Raw genomic sequence first — 27,155 nt, forward strand, 5'->3', positions numbered from 1 at the left:
CATGAGAAAAGTTAATTATACGTAAATTAAAATATTAAGACATATAGATATTTATCTATCCAAATATGTTTCAAATCTTTAAAATAAATTCGGTATTTTAAAACTATTGTCAATGGGCTATACATTTTTTTAAATGAGGAAAAAAGAAAAAAGCCATTTTAGAATGGTTAATCACACACACAATTTATTGATGAATAGAGTCTGTAAGATTTACAAAACTGTTTGTGGGCATTTGAGGCCTAAAATTATAGTTGTCACATTTCTCCAGTACAATTAGATGTGGAACAGCATTTTACATTGTTTAAAAAGAGGGAATGGAGAAGAAATGTCAAAGCTTTTCTGTCTGGCTTAAATGATAGGTCACGCAACACAGAAATCTCTTTGGTTTTGGAAACTGGTATCTGGGCCCAGATTGTCCAATTATCTGGGCCATCAGCCTCAGGTCTGGGCTGTCCACAATGATGCTTTCTGGGCCCAAGGCCAAAGTGTCTAGGCCAGTAAAAGCTTCACTGACGTCAGGAGGCCGAAATTGGAGAGGAAGAGAGGAGGGAGGGATCCTCCCAGCATTTGAGTCTGCCTTGAAGGAAGTATTTGACCCATACAGTTCAGGATAAGAAGGTTTGCCTTTCCATATGAGTTCACTGTGATACAGCATTTGGGAGCTCAAAAAACCCAGTGTGAACCTAGGAAAAGCTCAGAATGATGGAGCTGGAAGGCTTCTGTCCTGTCTTATTTCCAACAGTATATTTCCTATTCAACAGAGCCCACCATGAAATCTGTCCCAAATCATGGAACCCCGAGGTGAAAGGCCCCCAGGCATGCCAACACATGGCAGACAAATCCAGTTGTGTCCAGGGATGGCGTTCCCTCCAGTTTTCTGAAAGACGCTCCCATATTCCTTAAGCACAGGTAAGAATCTTCTCTTCATAAAGCCTTCATCACCCAGCTGGAGGTGGCTTGCCAATGTTTTCCTTTGTCGTGGTTTATTGGGTGATTTATAATTTGAACACAGTGCCAGCTTCTAGCAGCAGCCGACATGGACTGATATGAAGGTGCTAGAAACCACCCACACTCTGGTATATCTCCTTCACCAGCTTCCAAAGGTGCTCCAGATGCCTATAATATTTACCCTTTGGACCAAAGTATTAAAATGCAAATGTTAGTCAGAATTGAGTAACCCATTAAGCCAGCACGGTTCAAGTGATTGGCTGTTCTAACCTGGAGGAGCATCCTGGGGAGATGGGACTGAGAAGTTTTGACATCAGAAAATACAGCAGTTGGGTTTTAGAGGTCCTAGTGAGAAGGCTGCCTCAGTCCTAGATGCCTGAGGGAAGTGGAGGCAGCCAGGGACAGGGGAGAGCACAAACGACACCTCACCATTCTTACTATTCCTTTCACAAAGACAGCCCTCCTCTCCTGAAGCATCTGAGAGGTGCCTGTTGGTGAGCCTTTTCTTGAGTAACTACACAGAGTAAGCTAAGAAAACCAGTACCATGCCTGCTTCCTGCAGCTGACACATCAGCACAGACCACACTGCGCCAGACTGAAATATTAGAAACAGATAGGCAATTAATAAACTGGGAATTTACATTTTTACAGTAATGAAAAGCAAATGGGTCAAGGTATTTGGTGGAAGAATATGTATGTGAGGAAGGAATTGTGGTAGAACTCAACACCCCTTATCTAAATATTTAGGAGGAATTTCTTAGTGGGTAGGTATCTCAGAAATCATTTTAAGAACATGGAAGCATAGTGCTTTTACTAAAGCCGCTGGGAGTGGACATGGCTTTGGGAAAAGGGTAGAACAGGAACAGAATGGGAAAAGATAAAAGCTTGAATATAGGTGCCAGGTGGATTCGGGCAAGATGGGGGTGATGAAGGACGAAAGGATACAGTTTAGCATTGAACAGACTTGTCCCATTGATGTCCACTTGGTTTGGGGTACGCATTTTGGATCACCAGTTCCTCAAAGGGAATGTCCTTTTACTGGGCCTCCCTCTAGCAGGCACAGCTGTGCTTGAGCCTCAGGCATTCTGGGCTAAGTGGACAAACGCTGCACCAGAGAATGGGAAAACTGCTGGTTCAAGTCCAGCCACACCCAAAATTCACACGCCTAGTCAGCTCATCAACAGCATCCTTCCACCATCCCCCCACCTAACCCAGGGAACCTGGCCTGGCCTCCCTTCTCTCCTCAGGCACATGGCTTCTCTTTCCTTTCCAGGTTATCTTTGGTGGCTTTTAAAAAAACAATTTTATTATAAAAATTTTCAAATATACACAAGAGCAGAGAGACCAAATGGACCCACATGTACCAATTGCCAACTTCAACAAGTATTAAATCATTTATAATTTTATTTCAATAACACCCTGACGTCCTCCCCACCCACACACACACACTCACACACACATTGGCTTATTTCAAAGCAGATTCCAGACATCATACCATTTTGTCTGCAAATACTGAAATATATATATATATATATATATCTCCAAAAAATTAGAATTGTTTTTTAAAAATCATATGCACAATATCATTACCACATGTAATTTTCAAACAAAAAGCCCTTAAAATCATCAATACTCAAGGTTTCTCCTGAATGTGAGCACTGTGGGGTGAGAGTTAGGGGTCAGGGCTCAGGCTCAGAGTTTTAGGATGAGGCCATCCTAGAAATCTACAATCTTGCTGGAACTCACTGTTCCAACCTACAAGCCCCCTTACTTTGTCCCTTCTCCTTCCTTAAAGCCTTCCAGTTCTGCTTTAAGTCTGAAATATAGAAAAAATTTGGATGTGCTTGGCAGATGCCCCTGGTCCCTTACTCATTAGCTTGGTTTCAGGCAAGTTTTGGTTTAAGACTCAGAGTGATAGTTTTATCATCAGTCAAATGTGGTAATAGCATGAATTTGTGGGGGCAGCAGTAACCACATTAATCATATTTGTTAAACACTCACTTCACAGTGGGAGCTCAGAATTGCTTCTCTGACATTGATTCTGAACTTGGTGACATCTCTGATTTGTGAACTTAACATCCAACTTCAGCTTGTCCCCTGCCCACCCAGGCCATGGGCATCTTACTGCCTCTTCTTTTACTTTCAAACTACGTATATTATTAAATTTGAAGTAAGTTCTTCATAGACAGAAAGTAGTTGGGTCATGATCTTTAATCCACTCTGCCAATATCTGGCACATTTAGATCATTTACATTTAATGTAATTATTAGTATGTTAGCCATTTTATTCTTCTGTCTGCCATGTTATTTTTTTGTTTGTTCTCTGTGTTGTTTGTTTCTGTTTTTAATGTTTTGTTTTCTTGTGAGTTACTTAAACATTTTCTAGAATGCTATTTTATTTATCTTAAATATTGTAAGTATATGTCTTTTATAGTTTTTTAGTGGTTTCTCTAGGTATTAAAATATGCATATGTAACTTATTGCAGTCTGCTGGTGTCAGTATCTTACCACTTCAAATAAAATGTAGAAATGTTATCTCCATTTAGGTGCCTTTAACCATCCCCCCACTCCTTTATAATACAATTTCCTTAAATGTTTCCTCTACATACACTGAGCACTACATTAAATGATGTGGGTTTTTACAAACATTTTGCTTCAACCATCAAACTTTATTTAAAAAACTAGGCCAGTCGCGGTGGCTCACACCTGTAATCCCAGCACTTTGGGAGGCCGAGGCGGGTGGATCACGAGGACAGGAGATGGAGACCATCCTGGCTAACACGGTGAAACCCTGTTTCTACTAAAAAATACAAAAAAAATTAGCCAGGCCTGGTGGCAGGTGCCTGTAGTCCCAGCTACTTGGGAGGCTGAGGCAGGAGAATGGTGTGAACCTGGGAGGTGGAGCTTGCAGTGAGCCGAGATGGCGCCACTGCACTCCAGCCTGGGTGACAGAGTGAGACTCTGTCTTAAAAAGAACAAACAAAACAAAACAAACAAACAAAAAACTAAAGAGTAAAGGGATAGTCTATTTTACTTAACTCCATTTTACCCATTTCATTGTTATTTATTCCTTCCTCACATTCTAAGTTTTTTTTCTGTTATTTTCTTTCTGTTTGAAGAACTTCCTTTAGTCATTTTTCTGGGGTAGGTCTGCTGGTAACAAATTCTCCTTTATCTGAGAATGCTCTTATCCTCTCTTCCTTCCTGAAGGATATTTTTGCTGGATATAGAATCCTGAGTTGACAGTTAATGGTTTGTTTTCCCTTCAGCACTTGAAACATGTACCACTTCCTTCTGGACTGCAGGATTTCTGATGATAAGTCCACTGTTACTAGAATTATTGTTTCTTTTTAGGTAATGCATTATTTCTTTCTAGGTGATTTTCCTATGTCCTTAGTTTTCAGAAGTTTGATTGTGATATGTCTGGGCATGGGTTTCTTGAGTTATCCTATTTGGGGTTCACTGTGCTCTTGAATCTGTAGGCTTATGACTTTTGCCAAATTTGGGGGGATTTTAGGCATTATTTCTTCAAATATGTTTCAACCCTACTCCCTTTCTCCTCCCTTACTGGGACTCTGATGATGCACATACTAGATTTCTTTTGTTATTATTTCACAGTTCCCTGAGGCTCTGTTCTTCTTTTTTCAGTGCATTTTTTGTATATGTTGTCCAAACTGGATCATTTCTATTCATCTGCCTTCAAATTCAGAAGTTCTTTCTTCTATTATCTCTTCTTTGCTATTAAGCACATTCAGGAAGCTTTTAATTTTGGTTATTACATTTTTTGGTTCTATTAGTTCCATGTAGTTATATCATTTTATCTGTGATGTCTATTTAGTTATTTTGTATCTTTTTAAATTAAGATTTTAACATATTTCAAGAGCGTTCCTAATTCCTTATTGGAGCATTTTTATGATGGTTGCTTTAAAATCTTTGTCAGAAAATTTCATCTGAATCATCAGATGAAATCTGAATTCATCTCAGTGTTAGCATCTGTTGATTGTTCTTTCAAGTTGTAATTTTCCTGCTCCTTTATATAACAAATCATTTTAAAAATAATCCTGAGTATTGTGTTATGAGACAGGTCCTATTTAAATTTTCCTTTTAGCAGGCTTAGCATGCAGGTCCAGTCTGCTTCATTTGTGTGCTACCTTGAGGCCAATCTGAAAACTTGGGTGGTATTCTATGTTATAGCCTGTCTGCACTCTGCCTGCCTGCTTCACACTGTCCCAGGAAGGGGAGGGGGCAAGGTGGAAGGTCAACAGCAGTGTCCTTACCCTATGACTTCTGTCCCCTAAACTGCACAGCTGTACCCCAGAACTGTCTTGCCATTCTTCCTGCAATATCTGGAGACTGCAAAGTCAGAAATTAGAAAAGGAAATCAGTCCCAGAGGTGCTATTTCAATCCTGTGAGCAGTTGATAAAACAAACTCCCCAAATCATTACAAACGCAGGTGCCTGCAGTTTTTCTCCATCTGTACCTTCCTCCCAGAGCTGAAAACTCACACCTAGGTAATAAAGTATTTGTTTTACAAAGGAAAGATCATCTGAGACTCTCATAATTATATTTTCTCACAGAGGAAACTGTTGCTGTAGGTAATCTTTAATCACCTCATCTTTTTGTTTTAGCTGTTGAATTTAGAAGTTAATTCCCCAATTGTTTCATATCAGACATCCAAAAATCTGCTGAATTTAAATCCTGTTATTCAAAAAGCTCAGTTTTCTTGACCTCCAGGCTGATTTATCAGGAACCTGCCTGTTTCCACTGAGGAAATGCCTACAGCCTTCCGGCTGATACATCTCTTCTGATGACGTGAGTTCAGGAGTAGGCGCTCTGGGATCCCTTCCTCCCACTCACCTTCCTCATCCACTCACCTCTTTGGTTGTGGAAATTTGCTTTCGTTTCCTCTGTCCATCCCCCAGAATTCTCAAAAGGAATCACCTGAGGATTCGTGGTTATGCAGAAGGTTCCTGCTTCTGGCTTAGGTTCTATGAGACTATAGAGGATCTCACACCATCCAAACAATTAGAGAAAAAAAAGGTTATGACAGGCAGACAACAGTAGAAAATATGTCCTTATTTGGTGCAGAATAAAATTAAGATAGTAACCTTTTTTAAAAAATCACCATTAAAATCTGTGATAATCTCCAGCCATCCTTCAGCTTCTCTTTCATAACTAGAATTTTCCCCTTATATATGAAAGAAAGCAGAAGTGGCAGGACTTTAAAAAGAAAATCTCCTCATTTTGGTGGGAATTTTCCAGTTGCTTCTTGATTCGACTCACTAACTTTGTCCACTTATTTACTTCTCATTAGATAAGATCAAATTCAAAAGAAGTGAGGAAAATTGATTAATAGCAAATCAAGCCAAATCACTGATTTTTGGGAAACAACCAGCCCATCCCAGTCCCTCATTTTTGGGACATAAATAACTCCTAAACTTTTTTGTATGGGCAAAACCTCTCATAAGCAACCTTGAAGTCCCCTTATAACTAATGTAAAACTGCAGAGTTTCCATCAATAAAAAAGTGAATTCCAGCACCAGGCTGGTAAAATGGATAATTTACCGTTGCAATGATTTAAAATATGTAATCAGATGGCCATGGATAAACCTGGCAGCTAAACCCTGGGAAACGTCCTGATTTCTAACTGTGGTCTTTTTGGGATTGTCTCCTGGGGCCATCGAGGCAAGACAAGGAGCCTGTTAACTGCCAGGGACCCGGATCATGGGGAAGCCCCTCGTTTGTCCTGGCCAGAACCCTGGTGGGAGGATTGCCCTGTCAGCCGCCTCCTGGGCAGACAGGCAGCACATGCTGGGAGAACGGACATGTGCATACTCACGTGTGGACACAGGAGCTGTGGGACCCTGGGCTGAGCAGAGCACCAGTGCTTGATGAAGGTGTCAAGGGTGAGTAGCTGAGCAGGCCAAGGTAGTCTGTTCAGTGAGCAAGTTGGGCACATGCATGCCAGCCCTAAAGGAGAACACTTGTTGAGAGGCCCCTGGAGGAGGCATGGTGCTGCATTGTGGTGGAAGTGAGGAAGGAGCTGAAACATCCACATGTGAACAGTTAGATAAAAATCAGAGGTTCATGTCATGGCTCAAAGCCTCTGTAAGCACCACAGAATGAGGAAAACTGCCACATTAATTATACAGCCCAGGATCTGCCCCTGGAGCCCAGGAGTGGAAGAGTGGGCTTTTCTCCTGTGGAGGAGGTGTGTTTATAGGAGGGAAAGGTTCACAGCAGGAACGGGTCCTAGCCGGGGGTAATGGACCCCCAAAATCCTTGCCCTGGTGTCCTGATCACAGGCACTCTTGGAGGACAGGGGCCAATCTGTTCACCCCAACCCTGGGCTGCAAAGCCAGGTGGCTCCCCCAGGGATTTGGGAGAGACTATGGCTACTGCAACTATCTCAGCATGTGCACAGCACGTGTTCCCACCTTCTTCTCCCCTCCCTGTTCCTCTGCCAGCCTTGTTTGTGCCCAGCATGCAGGCCCAAGGACGACTTGGTTTCTCATCTTTGAGCCTTCTGCTCTCACCTTCTGGCATTGTCCACTTCTGACCACCCTGGGCAACCCCCATGTCCCTCTGGCACGAGTCCCCTGTGGCAGCCCACACCCTCTAGTTCCTGTCGTTGACTTCGGAAGTGGCAGTAGAAACGGAGCCCAGCCCACAGCTGAGCCTCACTGTTTGGGAGTGCAGTCACAGCAACAGAGAAGAGAGAGGATGAGTGTGGGGCCTTCTCCTCCAGGGGCAATGCAACCACCCTCAACACGTGCCCAGCCAGTGTGAAGCCCCAGACGGATCCAGTCACAGCTTTTGTCCATGGGAGCTAGTCTGAGACCCAGGGTGCTTTAAAACAGTACAAGAAGCAGGGATGATGGATGCAGAATTAGGAGAGCCCAGTGGTCAAGAAAGAGAGCAGGAAAAAGCACAACGCAGGTGACACCATGCTGGGTTGGATAGAGGACCCCTGAGCACCCATGGGCTAAGGGGTCAGAAAAGGATCAGACAGGCCATGGGCTGCCCCATGGCACACAGGCATGCCCTGATAGTTGGTTCAACAGGAAGGGATTGGTGGGGAGTAAGGGATCGGGGCTTGGGGAACTGCCAATTTTCAGGTCTCTTTGGACCACCCCCGCTAGAGTGCCAGCCTCATGGGACACAGAGCCAAATGCCCTCAAGGAATTCGTCCTTCCTACCTGGCTTCTTTCTCAGGGGTAGTACCAACCCCTAGAAGCACAGGTGACTGGTACAAAATTCCCAGGCAGTCTGAACACTTCTGGAATATCCCCTAAGGATGCTCTCCAACAGGCTGACTTTTTTTTTTTTTTTTTTTTTTTTGAGACGGAGTCTCGCTCTGTAGCCCAGGCTGGAGTGCAGTGACGTGATCTCCGCCTCCCGGGTTCACGCCATTCTCCTGCCTCAGCCTCCCGAGTAGCTGAGACTACAGGCACCCACCATCACTACCGGCTAATTTTTTTTGTATTTTTAGTAGAGACAGGGTTTCACCGTGTTAGCCAGGATGGTCTTGATCTGCTGACCTCGTGATCCGCCTGCCTCGGCCTCCCAAAGTTCTGGGATTACAGGTATGAGCCACTGCGCCTGGCCCAGGCTGACATTTTTAAAGGCCTCTCAAGGATCCCAGATCAGTAAATAAACAGATCATAGGCCCAGGCTGGATTTTCTGAAATGTAGATTTTTTTTATAATTGTTGAAAATCTATTAGAATTCCTTCAGCTCATTTAAGAACATGCTAGTTTGAGGGACTCTTTTTATTTCAGATTCCAATCATGCAAGTGGCTGCTGCTGATTTTTTCATCTGCCCTCTACTATTTCCTTTTTCTTTCTTTTCTCCTTCACTCTCCTCCTCCCCCATTCTTCATTTTTACAGATTTCCCTGGATAAAGTCACCCAAAGATTATTCATGAAACAGAATTCTATAATTTTACAGCGAGAAGTCCCTCTACTGTCATCGTATCTCATGCCTTCGTTGTTTGGGTTGAAGAAATTAGGGCACAAATCAGGAATACAGGGTAAATAAATAACGCTTTGTCTCACCTAAATGCATTTTAGAAGTCACCACACAAGCCACATGCAAAATCAGACTTTAGCGTTGTCTTTAAAGATGCTGTCACACTAATGGCAAGTGAAGTGTGGCATTTGAGACCAGGCAGGAAAGAACATGAAGCTGAACAAGCTTTGAATGACAGCTGTTTGATGATGGAATTTGTAAGGTAAAAATATCAAAGCCAAAGACTTGAAAAGCATAATGTTCCACATGAAAGACTTTAAGTAGCAAAAGAATTTTTATTGTTATAATCAACAGGATAATAATAATGAAGCATAGTAGATTCACAATGCATATTGAACAAATGATTAAAAAAATGAGAAAAGAGTGAGTGATGGTTTCTAACTATGATAATGAAGCATATCTCAACCAAGTGGTAAACACATCAGGCCAGTGGATTTCATTCGACATGTGCCTAGATGATCTGACAAGAAAAATTCCATTTCCCTTTTCTCAGGGATCTACTAAAGGATGTGCTCCTTAAAAATGAGGGAGTAAGCCGAGAAAGAGGAAGATGTGGGCTCTAGAAAATGGAATCCAATGCAGCAAAAGGTAAAGGGGATTTTTAGAATCACGACCAAGAGAACTCTGAGGTCAACAGCTGTGCAGCAGGCCTAGAGAATGATCTGTGAAGATGGGTACAGGAGGAGGAGGGACTCTAGGTGGGAGGGCTCTATCATGTGGTGGTACTGGTGTCAGCCCATTGGAGCCAATTGTTAAATATTTGGGAATGTTGTAAGCCAGTTTTTAAACACAGTCATTATTTAAAAAGTAAATTATAAAAGGCTTAATCATATTAGAAATAAAGATGATAAATATTCCAAATTCATCTATATCTCATTATACTACATTTTACTGGTATCTGTGTTCTTGTAATTTACACTTATTGTATTTTTTTTGGCATTTTAACACGTGTGGTTTCTTTTTGTTTTTTCTTTTTTTCAACTTTTATTTTAAGTTCAGGAGTGCATTTATTGTGTTTTCATGGTAGAGTACAACGCACCTCTTGCCAACTCTGTGTTCAGCAATGTCACATTAGTAGCTTCATATTGGCCTGGGTGGAAGTATTTACACCACAGAAACCAGCAAAACCTTCAAATCAGGGCTTGATTTATTGTTCTGATGGTCTATACTTAAGAAAATAATGAAGACATTGTTAATGCAGATTAGACTTTACATGAGTCAAGTCTGAAGTCATTACGTTGTGAATAGCAGGAATAAAAGACACGAAAATAGTCTTTCAGTACTCAAAAACTAATATGCAATGAAGCAAAGAAATTATACTCACATCATTGATGAACAAAATGAAGTTCAAAAAAATTCTTGTTGTTGCACTTGTGTCTTATACATTAACAAAAGTGAAAATACTAAATAACTAACACATAAGAACTGCACTCCAGGCCGGGCATGGTGGCTCACACCTATAATCTCTACACTTGGAAGGCTGAGGCAGGAGGATCAATCTCTTGAGGCCAGGAGATGGAGACCAGCCTGGGCAGCAAGTGAGACTCCATCTCTATGGAAAAATTTAAAAATTAGCCAGCCATGGTGGTGCATGCCTGTAGTCCCACCTACTCAGTAAACTGAGGCAGGAAGATTGCTTGAGCCCAGGAGTTCCAGACAATGAGATCACATCACTGCACTCCAGCCTGGGCAACAGAGGGAGACCCTGTCACTAAAAATTAAAAATAACATAAAAAATTTTAAAAAGAACTACACTCATTCGTTATGGTTATATGAGTTTGACAAAAATCAATGAAAGCATTCTGTGAGAAACAGTTCATCGTATAGAAGTTACAATAAAGTTTTTATTGTTAATTGTAAGTAGTGTGCTAACTGTCCTTTATGTCAGTAACACTTATAGTAAACTTATATGCATATAAATGCATGTGTTTTCTTTTGGAGAGGCAGTTGTTAAACATGTACCAGCCTGCCACTGGTCCAGATGAAAAAATAAAGAAAACAGCACCTTACCTCATACATTTGCACCGAATGGAGTTAAATGGATTTTTTGGAATGTTTAAAATGGAATTAGCTTAGGCATATAAAAAACTAAGCAAATAATATGACAGAATGATTCTTAACACAAGGAACAAAGATTGCACAAAACAGGAGATGTAATCCTGTCTACTATATGGCTCAGCTTTGAATTTTTAAAGTCAAAATAAAGAATATTGACTTAACCAAAATCGGAGCTATAAGCACTGTATGACATTGGTTGTACAATGCAACACAAGAGGGAAAACTCTTACTGATGAATGAAATATCATCTATTGTTGCATCCCATTTTCAGACATTTTAAAATGTGAAGGAATTGTGCCTGACTTGGAATCAGAGTGGTAAAGATTAATGTCTTCATGATAAGCTTGATAGTTCCATTTGTTTTCAATGTTTTGATTAAGTCATAAAATGTTAACATTACATGTTAAGTATTATCTTTTTTTAATCCTGGAATACAAGAGTGATTTACTATTGGAAAGTCAATGCACACACTTCATCACATTAATGTATTAAAGGAGAAAAACCATATCATCTTCTCAACAGGCATCTGAAAATCAGTGGAAATCATCGCCAACTCTCACTCCTCCCAATTACCTCCTGGGTGGGCTGGAACCTGAGAAATCTCATCAGTAAAGCTCAACAGCGTTGCCGAATGCATTCTCCTCTTCAGGCTACAAGAGCTTTGGGGTTGCATGCTGTCACTCAAGATCAACCGTAAGGGGCTCACAGAGGTCCAGAGAGGCCTCAGTGCTCCCTGATGTTGATGCCCCCAAAACCAGTCCAAATCTAAGCCAGGTGCTCGGACCCACAGCAGCGGTCAGGGCCCTGCAGCCGGGCAGAACGCTGCTCCTCTGCGAACCTAACAGGGACAGGCAGAAGAGTAGATAGATGCCCACCCTCCCCGATCTCCAGCTGAGATGCACATTGGCCCAGAACAAGTGAGCTGCCTTGCAGAGCCACCACGAGAAGGAAGCCGAGGCAGGAACAGAAGTGTCTGCTGTCTATGTGCTAACATGCACACAGACTGTGCCCCAGTTTCTAGCCCCGAGTCACAGCGAGGCTTCTCTGAGGACACAGTCCTGCTCTTTTGCCTGCCAAGTCATCGGCTCCCCGCACCTCTAGTGGGAAGCTGTGGGGTGGCCGAGAACTGGGTGAGCCCACCCCCCACCAGAAGGCTCTCTGTTCACCCAGTGACATCATCTTCTGCTCCCTGTGATCTTGGTAATCCTATCCATCCTGTGCTTTCCCCCAGAAAAATAAATTAAAGCAGGGCCCTCTGAGTCCCCAATCTACTTAATTGTACTGCCTTCACAGTCTTTGTTTGAGAAACAGTCCCCACAGCTCAAGACTCTTCAAGCATGGATCTGTATTGCCATGATTATTTCTGGAATCTCTTTGAAATTCCACTCGATGCAGAAAACATGTCCCACCTGTCTCAGATCTCACTCCATTCAGTCCATGCAGAGTGGTCTTTCCACCCAGCCCCTCTCCTGGGGAGCCAACCTGGGAAAGTTCCCACACACCTTGTCAGAGCCCCACTACCTGGGCAGTGATCAGGAGGTTTGCAGAAAATGGAGAGGCCTTAATTTACAGCCAATGAGGTCAGGCCATCACAGCGATGCCCAGGGCAGAGGGCAAGAAGGAATGAGCTCCACAGACGTCCAACTGCCCTCAGGATTGGAGAATCCAGACAGCCCCTGCATGCCTCCTCTGGCTTCATCCAAGTCAGGACAGAGTCATCTGCAGGCACAAATCAACTCCAGAACCTTTCCTGAATGACACAAAGGCTCTGAAATCGGTGTCTGCCTCTGGTCAGTTTGAGCCCCTCTCCTGCACTGTGTACAGGAAGAATGACAGACTTTATGCAGAATGCTTTTAATTTTTCTCTATGTCAGAGCAATGCTCAACTCACTGAGCCCTGACTTGCAGGATGACTAGTTCCAGGGCACCCTGGGGCAATCCTGTTCCAGGAACAACCTTTAGTGAGCCAGGGTGGTCCTTTTCCATCCTGCTCACACGTGTGCCAACAATCGGATTTTAGTACTTTCTGTGCTCCCAGAGGACTGACTCCTGGGGATGGCCGCCATCTGCTCAGCCTCCTGTCACAAGCCTGAGTCCCACCTCGCTGCTAGTCACAGATCCCAGCCAGCCCGTAGCTCCTGTCCAAACACAAAAGCCAGGTCTTGCAGTAGAAGACAAATCCCATGCACCAACTTATTAAACTAAAGAAGAAGCCAAGTGAAAAAGGCATCACCAGAAGTAACTTGAAGTTGTTCTGGGCTTTTGGCTTGGTGCCAGTCTAGCTGAAAATCAGGTAGCTGAGGTGTGGTGGGAAGCTGGAGTCAGAGGGACCAAAGTGGAAATGAATGCCCTTGGACAGAATGCCACAATAGGCCAAGCACATGGTAAGCACTTGATCGATGCCAGCTACCATTTTTGCTTATTTGCTTTTATTATTAATGTTTAAATTTATAGACAGTGAAATGGACTTCCATGTAGTGTACAGTTCTATGAGTTTTAAGACATGTAGATTTGTGTAACCACCTCCACAATTAGGTTATGGAAGACTTCCATCCCCCAGACTCTGGCCTCAAGCTGCCTTTCATAGCCAAACTCTTCTCCACCCCCAACCCCTGACAACTGCTGGTCTGTTTTCCATCCCTATGGTTTTGCTTTATAAACTCACGCAGTAGGTAACCTTTTGCAATTAGTTTTCTTTCACTCAGTGTAATGCCTTTGAAGTTTCTCCATGTTGTCATCTGTCTCAATAGTTTATTCCTTTTTATTGTGAGGTAGTATTTCATATACCACAGTGTGTTTCTCAATTCACCCATCAATAAGAGTGTTTCAGTTTTAGTGATGATAAATACTCTTTCTATAAACAGTCATGCACAGGTTCTGTGTAAACATGCTTTCATTTCTGTAGAGCAAGTATCTAGGCGTGGGATTCTTGAGTCGTATGGTAAGCGTGTCATTAAACTTAAACTGACAAACTGTTTTTCAGAGTGGCCACGTCACTTTGCATTCCCACCAGCATGTGTGAAAGTGCCAGTTGTCTCATTCTTGCCGCCACTTGGTATTGTCAGTGTTTTCATTTTAGCCATTCTACTAGGTGGGAAACGGACTCTCATGGCTGTTCTAATTTGCATTTTCCTAGAGGCTAATGGTGTTGAAGACTTCTCGTTGTGCCCATTTGCTTATATCTTCTTTGGTGAAGTGTCTCTTCGAATATTTTGCCCATTGAAAAAATTCAGTTGTTTGTTTTCTTACTGTTGAGTTTTGAGGGTTCTTTATATACTCTGGATATAAGTCCTTAATCTCATACGTGATTTGCAAGTGTTTCCTCCCCATTTACGACTTGTGTTTTCACCCACTTAATGGTGCCTTTTGTGGAGCAAAATATTTTAATTTGCTGAAATCCAATTCACGAAGTTTTTCTTTTCTCAGTCATGTACTAGATGTTAAGTGTAAGAACTTCTCATGCAACCCAAGGTCATGAAGCTGTTCTCCTGTTTTCTTCTAAGAGCTTTATAGTTTTACATGGTACATTTTGACTTAATTCTTTTATAAGGTAAGAGACTTAGATCAGAGACTTAAAAAATTTTTTTGCTTATGGATGTCCAGTTGTTCTGTTGGCAAATTTTAACATGAATCTTTTTCACCCTCCTCTTTATATTAACTTTTGTCTCTGTAAATTGAGGATCTTTTTAAAAAAACTTGCAATGAGAAGACATATGTGAAAAGTGCTTTGCAAGTGATTTGTAGAAAAGTAGATAAATAAATATTAGTTTAAAACACATACACACACTCGTAGTAAGACATTGCAAAATGAAGATTCAAAGATGAAGATTCGTCACCCAGAAATAAATTCTGGAATCACAAGGTAAAGTTTGCAATGCTGACTTAAAACCACTTAAGGTCTCTGGCTCACAGGCAGCCTGCCGAAGGGGAAGTGTCTCTGCCTTTCTGTGAAAACAAGGCCAGTCCCTTATCCTGTTAGTGGTCGGATGAGCTTGCTGGTAAAATGGTTGGATCTCAGCTGAAGGTGAATGCTGTCCTCCTACCTTGAGGAGTATAGCTTGCGTGCGAGTGGGTGTGGACCTGTGTGCACACTCGGGGTGTATATGAAACCCACATCTACTGGTCTCTGCCCATGCAGACCCCTCATGGGAGCGGTATTTATGTGAATGATTTACCCTGGTGACTTCAAGACCACAGAACTCCATCCAACAAAGGAGCTCATTTACTTTCTGACATGGTTAATGTCCTGATTTAATGGCCCTCTTATATCACACTCAGCACCCTAAATTATAGGGCAACCCAGACAATAACACTGCAGGGTTTCAGGCTGTACCTCTCCCCAGAGCTGCCCTCCCATACTCGAGTGGAAGCAGCAGAGGCGGACTCTCCTCCCTTCCTGCGAGCCACATGCCTCTGCTCTCATTAAAATAACTGTTTGTACCACCTTGTTGCTCCAGATCACAGTCTCCTGAGATTTTTCAGCCACAGGAAATGCTATTCTGAACATATAACTGCACATGTGAAGACTAAAAATGTCTTTCTTGTTGATATTACTCAAGAAGCAGAGTCAGTGTTTCTTGATTGTGTGCTCTGCAATGCCTCTGTTATGAAAGATCAGTTTCCATAATGACCCTTTGGAGGGAAGTAGTTATGGTAAGGATTTCACAAACAGAAGACCCTGAACTTGCTCCTAAACACAAAACTTGCTGTGTAAATCCAGGGAGCTGCCGCTAGGCATATTTAGTGCATAAGAAAAATTTGTCAGATGGGTTTAAGAGATTTTTACAACCCTGGCATTAATCACAAGGTTAATCGTAAGGTAAAAAGGTAAAATACTCATGCCTAGAGCCCAAATTCAAGGGCCTACATCCAAGACAGCCAGGTGCCTTACAGCTGAAACTCTAAGAACCATTTCTTCGCTTTGATCTACTAATTTATGCAGTAAGTAATGACCTAAGAGTAAACTAAACAACTGAAAGCATAAATTATCTAAGAAATGAAATCTCACTTTAAAAAATACTGTCACTTTCTAAAACTTAGATGCCACTCTATAAATATGGGAAATAAAATGTTTTAATGAGACAAATAGGGAATGACAGGTTACAAAAATTAGCATCCATAACAATTAAAAAACAGCTTAACATTTTATAATTGTATCAATTTGATTTGCTAGAAGCAGATGAGGTGGGAAGGAGAGGCCTCTTGAGAAAGAGGAAGGGAAAGCAGACAGGAATGGTGCTGTATTTTCTGCTCCAGATATTACTCAATTCTATTTTGAATCTTCAAACGTTTACCCAACTCTAAAAGGAGGTTCCTTGCAACATTGGGAGAAAACACTCTTTTTTTAACTTTTATGTTAAGTTCAGAGTACAAGCGCAGGTTTGTTACATAGGTAAACTTGTGACATGGCGGTGAGGTTGTTGTACTGATTATTTCCTCACCCCAGGTATTAAGCCTAATACCCGTTAGTTGTTTTTCTGGATCCTCTCCCTCCTCCCAACCTCCACCCTCAAGGAGGCCCGAGCGTCTGTTGTTCCCCTCTATGTGTCCATGTGTTCTCATAATTTAGCTCCCACTTATGAGAGAACATTTAGTATTTGGTTTTCTGTTCCTGTGTTAGTTTGCTAAGGATAAAGGCCTCCAGCTCCATCCGTGTCCCTGCAAAGGACGTGATCTTGTTCTTTTTTATGACTGCATAGTATTCCATACCGATTATATGTACCATATTTTCTTTATCTAGTCTATCATTGATGGACATTTAGGTTGATTCCATGTATTTGCTATTGTGAATAGCGCTGCAATGGACATTCATGTGCATGTGTCTTTGTAATAGAATGATTTATATTCCTTCAGGTATATACTCAGTAATGGGATTGCTGGGTCGGATGGTACTCTGTCTTCAGGTCTTCGAGGAATTGCCACACTGTCTGCCACATGGCTAAACTAATTTACAGTCCCACCAACAGTGTGTAAGCATTCTTTTTGGGAGAAAACACTCTTAGGAAGCTGTAGAAAAGCCTTTAGTAAAGAAGGCTACATCTTCCACAGAGCATCCTGACCATCATTGGTTATACAATCTGAGTTTTGATCCCATTCCCACTGTAGACGAATTAGTCACTCTCTGAGCCTCAGTCACGTCATGTGTCCAATGGGGATAGCATTCCTATCTTGTAGAGTCGTCGTGAGGACTAACAGATGTAATACAGGCAAGGCGCCTAACAAAGAGTGGCATTGGATAGTGTGAAGATTCAACACAATTTCTCAGGTATTATTATTATTACCATGGTGAGTATTTGGTGATACCTTGAAGCTATTCAAATTAGGCAATGTTTTATTGTTTTGTGGCACCTAATCAGTGCCAACCCTTTCTCTATCCCTCCCTCTGTCTTTCTCATGCACACACACAAATGCACACATACAACATGGCGAACTGAATTTAATGATAAGCTAGGAAGTATGAGAACACCTGATTTCTTTTTGGCTCATAAAATAAGAGTAAATTACTATAAAATAAAATAAAAGTAATTACTATAAAATAATAATCATTATTACTATATGACACTGAAGTCAGGTAAAGATGGAATTTATAATAAACATGAGCATGCTGCCCCGAAACCCATATACAGCTGTGTGTGCTCTAAAGAAAACGAGCTGTGGAAAGAGCAACAAGAAGACAATGAAAAAAGAAACAGGAAGAAGCACATAGAAGCTGATGTACCCCCTCCTATACTTTTTGCTGACCAGTTAAGGGGATCCAGGCCATTCCCTCTACCTAGAAATGGAAGGAACACTGGGCTCACAAGGGGCAACTCTCAGGCGTTGATGAAAAACATCCCTCAGCCCTGTGGAGCTGCAGCCGCTGTAGTTGATAGCATGTAATACAAAACACATTTGTCAACTTTCTTTATATCTAAATAAATAAATACCCAGGGGAAGAGGAAGCTCACTACAGTAATCTGATTTGGAGACGTGTCTCAAGAAAGAATGCACACCCAAGGGCTGGCACGGAAGATGTGGACAGCTATCAGCCAAGCGAAACAACTAGAAAAGACCCACCACATTGGACAGGGTGGAAAATGGCAAATGGTATGGGCAATGGAACCACATGAATCCCTTGAGAATCATATCATTTTCATCAGATTGAGTCATGTGGGAAGATTTGGGGGAACAAGTCAAAATCCATTACTTCAGGAAGCATTCAAGGCTAAAGTCAGTTTTATAGGTTATGTGTGAATATTCTTAAAATCCACGTTGGGTTTTGTATGCTTTATTATTTCTGAATAATTTGAAGCAACGCCTTACCTTTGAGACACTTGGCAGAGCAGGGCAGCATCCCAGCTTGCAGAACTTTTGGAGAGGATCTTGGCCTCTACAGAGGCCACACAGAAAGACGAGGGATGGAGCATGGCCACTCCGAAGGCCAAGGGTGTGGAAGTATTTCGTGTCTAGCAGAGGTGATACCACTCAGGAATTGGTCGGGGGGCAACCTTATCTGCCCGGAAGTTGTTGGCTAGATTTTCAATCAGCTAAAAATGGGGCTGCAAATGCTGACACACACCCCCTCCCTTAATCATGTAAGTGATACCCTCCTGCATTGAACTAAAGGGTCCCTATTATTTCTGATGGGGACTTCATCAGCATCTTAGGTTAGTAGTGGGACTGGGGATTCTTGGCTTCCTAAGATGTGACATTCACAGATTTAGGAGCATATTTCATCATCATTCCTTTCTCCCCTTTATGTCCTATATGTCTCTATCATTATACTTCTTTATTCTAAATTTTCATTGAACCTAAACAACTTCTAACTATACAACCTCCCAAAGAGACATGATCTAATTGTATAGCTCCTTTCACTTAACTGAAAGTCCAATGCAACCTCTGATAAATTATGAAAGTAAAATCAAATAAGCTAGGAAAAGAAGTCTGAACTTTTTAAAGTGTGGGAAGATATGGCAGAAATGAAGATAAAGAATTTTACTGTATGTCTGCTTTTGTTTTGCAAGTATTCATGATCAAATAAAAATATTCATAGAGAAAAAAATGACAGTGGTTACTCACTGTAAGGACTTGTTCAAAAATAAAAATAACCAATCTAGCGAGTGTTACTTTTAAAAGCAACAGATCCCTAAAAACTTTTAAATTTTCTCTTATACAGAACTCAGGTCCAAAATAAAATAGAAAACAGAACTGCAGAATATTATGAAATAAAAATAATACAAAAACATTTATCAGAAGCTATATGATATAGCTAAAGCAATATGTTGAGGGAATTTCATAGCTTTAAGTACTTAAATTAACAGTATATACACTCAACTAAAAAAAAGTACTGGGAGTGGTGGCTCACACCTGTAATCCCAGCACTTTGGGAGGCTGAGGTGGGTGGATTACCTGAGGTCAGGCGTTCGAGACCAGCCTGGCCAACGTGGTGAAACCCCATCTCTACTAAAAATACAAAAATTAGCTTGGCATCGTGGCACATGCCAGTAATCCCAGCTACAAGGGAGGCTGAGGCAGGAGAGTCTCTTGAACCTGGGAGGCGGAAGTTGCAGTGAGCCAAGATCACGCCACTGCGCTCCAACCTGGGCAACAGAGTGAGACCCGGTCTCAAAAAAAAAAAAAAAAAAAAAAAAAATTAAGGCAAGACAAATAAAATAAATTTGAGAAAATTGCAGGGAGAGATAATAAATATAAAAGGAGAAAAATTAACCAAATCAAGGAAAATGGCAGAAAACCACAAAAAGAAAAAAAAATAGGTATGAAATCGGAAAATTCTCAGCTGCAAGGAAAATTTTAAAATAATAAATGATTACCCTGCTCAATTTTGCAGAAATAAATATGAAAACCTCATGGTTTTCTAATAAGATATAAGTTACTAAATACAGAAATGAAAAGAGAGAAATAGAAACAGAGTAGTTCACATAGCAGAGACTTCAAGGGAGCACTCAGCGCAGTTGATTTTGTAAACGGATTTCATCAACCATCCAAAATGCTGATACCGCCAATGTTATTGAAACTGCTATGAATAATGAAGAAGGAAATCTTACGAAGTATGTTTTATTTCAGAACTTTTATTTTTGAATACTTTTAGATTTACAGAAGACTTGCAAAGATAATACAGGGAGTTTCCATACAGCCTTCTCCCAGCTTTCCGTACTGGTAATGTATTCTATAACCAGAGTACATTTGTCAAAACTAAGAAACTATTAATGGTACAGAACTATTAACTAACCTACAGATTTTATTTGGATTTCACCCATTCTTTTTCCACTGATGATCCTTTTCTGTTCCCAGATTCAATCCAAGATATTGTGCTCCATTTAACCAATTATTTTTATGAATAAAAATGTGTGTGTATATATATATATATGTATATATATATACACACACACAGAGAGAGATAACAACATTTGAGAATGCCTCCCAAAAGAAAAATATAAACCAATCTCACCCATGAACATAGTTAAAAAAAACTCTAATCCAACCATGCTTTAAAAGAAAAATCCACCATAGCCAACATGGAGTTCAATCTAAGATGGGAAAATGCCCCAAAGTAGGAAATCTACTAATATAACATGGAGTAGGTGAAAAGAGAAAAACTACATTAGTTTGTCCATAGATTTAGAAAAGGCATTAAGTTCGGCTGGATGTGGTGGCTCATGCCTGTAATCCCAGCACTTTGGGAGGCAGAGGCGGGCAGATCACCTGAGGTCAGGAGTTCGAGACCAGGCTGGCAAACATGGTGAAACCCCTCTCTACTAATAATACAAAAAAATTAGCCAGGCATGGTGGTGGGCGCCTGTTATCCCAGCTACTAGGGAGGCCAAGGCAGGAGAATTGCTTGAACCCAGGAGGTGGAGGTTGCAGTGAGCCAAGATCTTACCACTGCACTCTAGCCTGGGTGACAGAGCGAGAACCATCTCAAAAAAAAAAAAAAAAAAAAAAAAGAAAAGAAAACAAAAGAAAAAGCATTAAGTTCAACACAATTCACATTTAATGTCTTAATAAAATAGGAACGTACTCATTTATCATGATTTTACACACATGTGCAGGTGCCGGAATTGTGTTTAATGACAAAATATTTCTACTGAAGTCAAGAAAGAGATCAAGATGCTCACAATTACCACAACAATTCTAAATTGTATTTGAATTACTCATTAATATAATTAGACAAGAGAAAAAAATGCAAAAAAAATTGAGAAGGAAGTAAATGTTTTATTATTTGCAGATCATACAATAGTATGCCTCAAATACACACTCACACAGGAGAATCAACTGAAAAACTGTTGTAAACAATTAAGAGACTTAGTAAGATCCCTGGTGACAAAATTAAACAAAAATTAGTAGCTTCTCATGTGCAAGCAGCAACTCACTAGAAAATATAATGGAAGAAAAGAGTAAAAAAAAAAGAATATCTGGGACTATAATTTTTAAGAAATACACATGTCCTATATAAATATACTTTATAAATGATACCAAAAGACAAGAGAAGACTAAAATATGGGGGAACTACTTTATTATTGGGTAGAAAACATCAGTGTTGTAAATGCTGAAAATAATTCTGCCTAAACTAATGTGATCTCAATAAAAATATCAATAGGATCTCCTCCTTTTTTAACTACACAAGCTAAAGAAAAATTCACGCAGAAAAAAATAAACATTTGATCATTTCCAGAAAAACTGTGAAAACTCAAAAGAGCAATAATTTAAAGAGAGCAATAATTTAAAAATATTGTAGAGCTGTAGTTTGGTTTTCATGTGTGAACAGTCAAAAAGATCAATGGAATCATGCAGTGAGTAAAGAAACAGGCCAAATGCATATAACAATTTGATGTATGATCCAACTGTATTTCAGGCTGGGTGCAGTGGCTCATGCCTGTAATCTCAACACTTTGGGAAGCTGAGGCAGGAGGATTGCTTGAGCCTAGGAGTTTGAGACAAGCCTGGGTAACATAGGTAGATACCATCTCTATAAATAATTTTTAAAAATTAGCTGGTTGTAGTGGCACACGTGCCTGTGGTCCCAGCTACTCGGGAGGCTGAGATCGGAGGATCACTTGAGCCCAGGAGGTCAAGGCTGCAGTGAGCTGTGATCGTGTCACTGCACTCCAGCCTGGGTGACAGAGCGAGATCCTGTCTTAAAAAAAATGAAATAATATTTTTAAAAACTGTATTTCAAATCAGTGGGTAAAAGGGTAGATAATTCAAAAGTGGAGTTGGGGTACCAGGGTAGCAATCTGTAAAAAGTAATATAAAAATTTTTATCTCATTTCATTCAATCAAAAACTTCTAGTAGATGGATGAATATTTAAACACATACGAAAGATAAAACTGCCAAATTATTAGAGTAAAACTTGAGAACATTAAAAAAAAAAGACCCTTGAGTGTTTTTGGAAGGGCTTTCTACATAAAACATAATATTCCAACATGATAAAAGTTATGAATCTGACCACATAATTCTGTTTAGGAAAAATTACCATAAACAGAGTTAAAAAATAAATGACAATCTGCGGGAAAGCATTTGTCACAGATAATATAGAGAAAGTGCTAATTTCCACAATTTGTAATGATCGGTTGAGATTCAATAAGAAAAGACAAGTAACAGATAAATAAGTGAGGCTATTTTCATGTACAAATGGAATACAAATGGCTACTTGACCTCAATCATAATTAAATAAATGTTATTTAATTTAAAAGTAGAAAGCTTTTACTTTTCAAACTGGCCAGGACAAAAAAAAAATTAACTTTACCAACTATTGTGATGAAGCAGGACTCTCATTCAACAACTGTGAAAGAGATCATTGGTGTAACTCCTTGTATGGCAAACTTAGCCCTATCTAGCCCTTGACCCAGTTGACTGGGGCTTTTGACCTGGGCTTTTATCCTTGAGGATACTCAGAGAGGTATGCAAAGACATATATAGAAGCAGGGTCATGGTTGTTACAAATAACAGCCAAATGATTCAAACATTCTGAATGCCCATCGGTTAGACTGGTTAAGTAAGTTATGATACATCCACCCAAAGGAGTACAACAGAGTGGTGAAAATGAACGAGGAACTATGACATAATTTTTACTTCAAAAAGAAGAGAAGAGAAACAAAATGAGATATTATTTAGATATTATTACATGCGGAGTAAAATGATTTTTATACAGCAAGAGAGTATATGGAACCCCTGCAATTTTTTATTTTACTACTGTGCTTCATACTACATACTCCTGGGCCGGGTGCGGTGGCTCACTCCTGTAATCCCAGCACTTTGGGAGGCCGAGGTGGGCGGATCACCTAATGTCAGGAGTTCGAGACCAGCCTGGCCAACATGGTGAAACTCCGTCTCTACTAAAAACACAAAAAAATTAGCTGGGCTTGGTGGCGGGCACATGTAATCCCAGCTACTTGGGAGGCCGAGGCAGGAGAATCACTTGAACCTGGGAGGCAGAGGTTGCAGTGAGCGGAGATCACACCATTTCACTCCAGCCTGGGTGACAGAGCAAGACTCCATCTCAAAAAAAATACTACATACTCCTTATACTTTCTATTGTATCTATGAAGTATGATATAATAGTATTGGTTTTTAAGAATGAGGTGCCTCTAGGGTGATAACACTGGTAGTTGTCTTGAACAGGTTCTGGGGTTAAAATCCTGGGTTGGCCTCTCTAGACTGGAGACCTTGGGCAGGTCATGTATCCCTCCATGCCTTTATTTGTGCATCTGTAAAACGAGCTTCATAATTGTACCCACCTCATAAACTGTTGAGAGGATTACAAATATAGGTACAAATACCAAGCCTGGTGTTCTGGACATAGTGAGAACACAAAAGACATAGCCATTATCACAGTTAAAGAATGACCTACAAGATACTACGTGAACAGAGCAGGAGACAGAGGGTATGGTGGTGCCACTCCCTTCTGTGTAGAAGCTGGAGTAGGACCATGCTTGATGAACTCCTAGATTATTTACGCCCACATAAATTGGGCAACAATGACTGCTCCTGAGAGGAGAACTCAACAAGGAATTTAGGATGGGAGACAGACTTGTTTTCCATTGTACAATTTGACTTTGTTCCCATGTATATGATTACCTTTTTAATTAAAAAAATTAATCTAATATGAAGCCAGTCATAAGCTGCAAGGCTTCCTGCTCTGGCTAGGAGGAATTCCACATGCCCACAGCCTTTCTCTCTGCCCACTGATGCTGAAGCTATCCATAATCATGGAGCTTGATGTCATGCCAGTTCTCAGTGGTGTTGACAGACTCCAGCTCAAAAGTTCCTTTATGAGACCTTGTCCCTCAGTAAAGCTTGCAAATTGCTCTGATCTTAGCAGACAAAGCCATCGCTCATTCTCTGCATCTCTGAATATCCTACACAATAACGTAAGAATTGGCCAAAATTACCCCAGATAAAGCGTCCTTTAGAACATCAAAGTCCCTGGTTTCCAGGCTGTAGGCTGCAGGTATGTGACAGGCCTGACAGCCCAGATGGACAGCAGAGATAAAGCGAAAAGTGAAATTCTGCAGCCACAGCGCCAGGGTTGGATTTGGTGCTAGAGTTTCTGCTGAGGGGATTGTTATCCTCGGAGGTGTGAGCACATTTTGCTTTTACCTTCAAAACCAGGTAATCAGCAGCAGATAACAATCAGAGAAGGCCGCCTTAAACCCTCAGCGAGCTGGAAAGTCTCTCTCTTCCTGCCTGGTTTGTTTAATTTTGGCCTGAGTCAGTTCACATGCACAACATATTTTCTATGTTTTCACTAAATTCCTTGTTTCTAGCTTTGTTTATGGTGTGAGCCTATTTCCCTTTCTTTCATCATCATTGTACTTTCCAGGCAACCAGAGTCTTGTCCACGTTTTTGAAGACCGGCTATAGCAAACTTGCCACGTGACTCAACTGACATAAATAACGTCCAGAAATACAGCCAAACCAGAATCCTGCACACATTCCCCAGAATACATACATGTACAACCTAAAGTCGGCAGCACGGGTTTGAGGGCTCAACCACCCTCTGGCAGAGAAGTTGCTTAGTCCTCTTGCTGGACAGCTAAATTCTAGCTGTCTCTCTGGAAGGGAAACATTTTACCAGGTAATAGAAGAAATTGGAAACTTTTCATATTTTACAGCGGGACCATCAGCTTTACCCTGTCCTATTTTAGCAACAAGAGTTATGTTCACAAAAATAAGCACAAGTCACTTAACTGGGACATGCTCTTTTTTTTTTTTAACGTAGATAATGGGAAACTAGCAAGAAAGAAGTTAGTGATACAGACCTAGTACCAGAAGACGCTGGTACTACGGAGACCCTCTGAAATAGAGTTTGCAGTGAGGATTCGTTTGGTGGTTTTTGTTGTTGTTGTTGTTGGTTTTGTTTTTGGTTGAGTCCAAAGTATTCTCTAATTCTTGATGTGAGGATAATTTGTAAATGTCAGTGACCCACAACAGCCCTGGGACAGTATTTTGAAGGAAAGCAGAAAATAATTCAAATAGTTTCCGTACTATGATCTCTGGCTGATTGACTGATGACATGTAATAAGTTACAGAATGTACTGTTTAGATAAATGCTTCTTGAACCTGGATGCAACTAACAAGCATGCAGGTCACTGTGTGGGGAAGTGCCAGGACGTAGGATGGACCCAGTTAGTGGGTGCCTCTGTCAGAGCGCAGCTGTGTTGGAAAAGCATGGAATAGACTTGAGTCCCGAACAGCTGGATCCAAATCCGCACATTCCTCCGGGTGCTGCCTTTCAAAGCAGCCCCTTTGGGTGGCTGGACTCCCGCTCCCACGATGCAGCTTTGGAACATGCTTGGAATTGCAGAATGTGGACTCACCTTGCCAATAAACCTCACCAAAAAAGGTTAATAAGTCTCATAAAAAAAAGTGATCTCATTACCTTGCTTACGTTCAAAAGATTTTTTTTAAAGAAAACAAAAATGGTGTTACCTACTATGATTATTTCTACACCAGATCTGAGTGACTTAGAACTGTTTTCAAAATGAAGCCCGCCCTCAAAGAACAAGGATTTGTCACTTACAAGGAAAATCAAAATCATGCTCCCCAAGCCCTGAGCTGTCCGGGTATGTTTTAGACAGGGCTGGATTGCTGGAGTGAAATGTGGGCCCACTCCTAACGCGACAACGTCGGGTGCTCCGGTGAGAGCGATGTTTTCTAAGCATGACCACATGACCTCAGATGACACCTGGAGGGTATGTGGTCCACAGTGTGAACAGCTTGTTTGCCTGGTGTGAGGTCTCTGCCACCTGATCAAGTGAAGGGCTAAGAGGCCTTCGAATCTGGGAAAGATACATGGGGACAACACCTTGCCTAGGCGGAGCCACCCTTAGCTGTTATCCCAGGGTCATTTAGACCCATTGTCCCAAGGTCAGATAAAGTCGGTCACTTTAGAGGGTTGCATCTGCTGACCAAGACTTACCCCTGAAGGGCCCAGGTCACAGATGTCTGATTCTGGCCTCTCAGGGAGGTTCTTTCATGTCACTGGAGAGAGAGGTGTGCAAGTGGCCCTAGGGAGGGGCCAGAAAGTATCTGAGCGTGGGCTGCTTCTTGACCCCTCCAGGAGCAGAGGCCCGGACACTCAGGCATCCTGCCACTGTGCCTTTCAGAAAGACAGCAGGGGGTGCATCAGAAATCATCTGACCACTCTGCTTTTTGGCTCATGGTTAGGTCCCATTTGAGACTCGAATCAGAGTAGCTGTGTATTTACCTAAGAGAACTCTTTTTTTAAAATAAAAATAAAAATAAAATAAAATAAACACCAACTTTATTAATGTGATAGCATTTTTTGTTTGTTTTGAGACAGAGTCTTGCTCTGTTGCCCAGGCTGGAGTGCAGTGGTGCGATCTTCGCTCAGTGCAACCTCTGCCTCCTGGGTTCAAGAGATTCTCATGCCTCAGCCACCCGAGTAGCTGGGACTACAGATGCGCAAGACCACACCCGGCTAATTTTTGTATTTGTAGTAGAGACGGGGTTTCACCATGTTGGCCAGGCTGGTCTCGAACTCCTGATCTCAAGTGATCCACCCGTCTCAGACTCCCAAAATGCTGGGATTACAGGCTTGAGCCACCGTGCGGGGTCCCCAATTTTTTTAAAGGAAAATAACACGAAACCAGC

At 41.3% G+C, this 27,155-nt stretch overlaps 1 long non-coding RNA gene across 2 annotated transcripts in view; it reads left to right on the forward strand.

Annotated features, from left to right (window-relative positions):
* Window positions 1-13,714, forward strand: part of LOC105371024 (uncharacterized) — a 116,308-nt gene extending 102,594 nt beyond the window's left edge. For both annotated transcript variants that reach the window (XR_932726.3, XR_932729.3), the window contains exons 3-5: window positions 762-909; window positions 9,474-9,568; window positions 11,561-13,714. This is a non-coding gene — a long non-coding RNA (uncharacterized LOC105371024). The remainder of the gene's footprint in view (window positions 1-761; window positions 910-9,473; window positions 9,569-11,560) is intronic.

This window comes from Homo sapiens, chromosome 15, assembly GCF_000001405.40.
Source record: "Homo sapiens chromosome 15, GRCh38.p14 Primary Assembly".
In the NCBI taxonomy this organism is placed as follows: domain Eukaryota; kingdom Metazoa; phylum Chordata; class Mammalia; order Primates; family Hominidae; genus Homo; species Homo sapiens.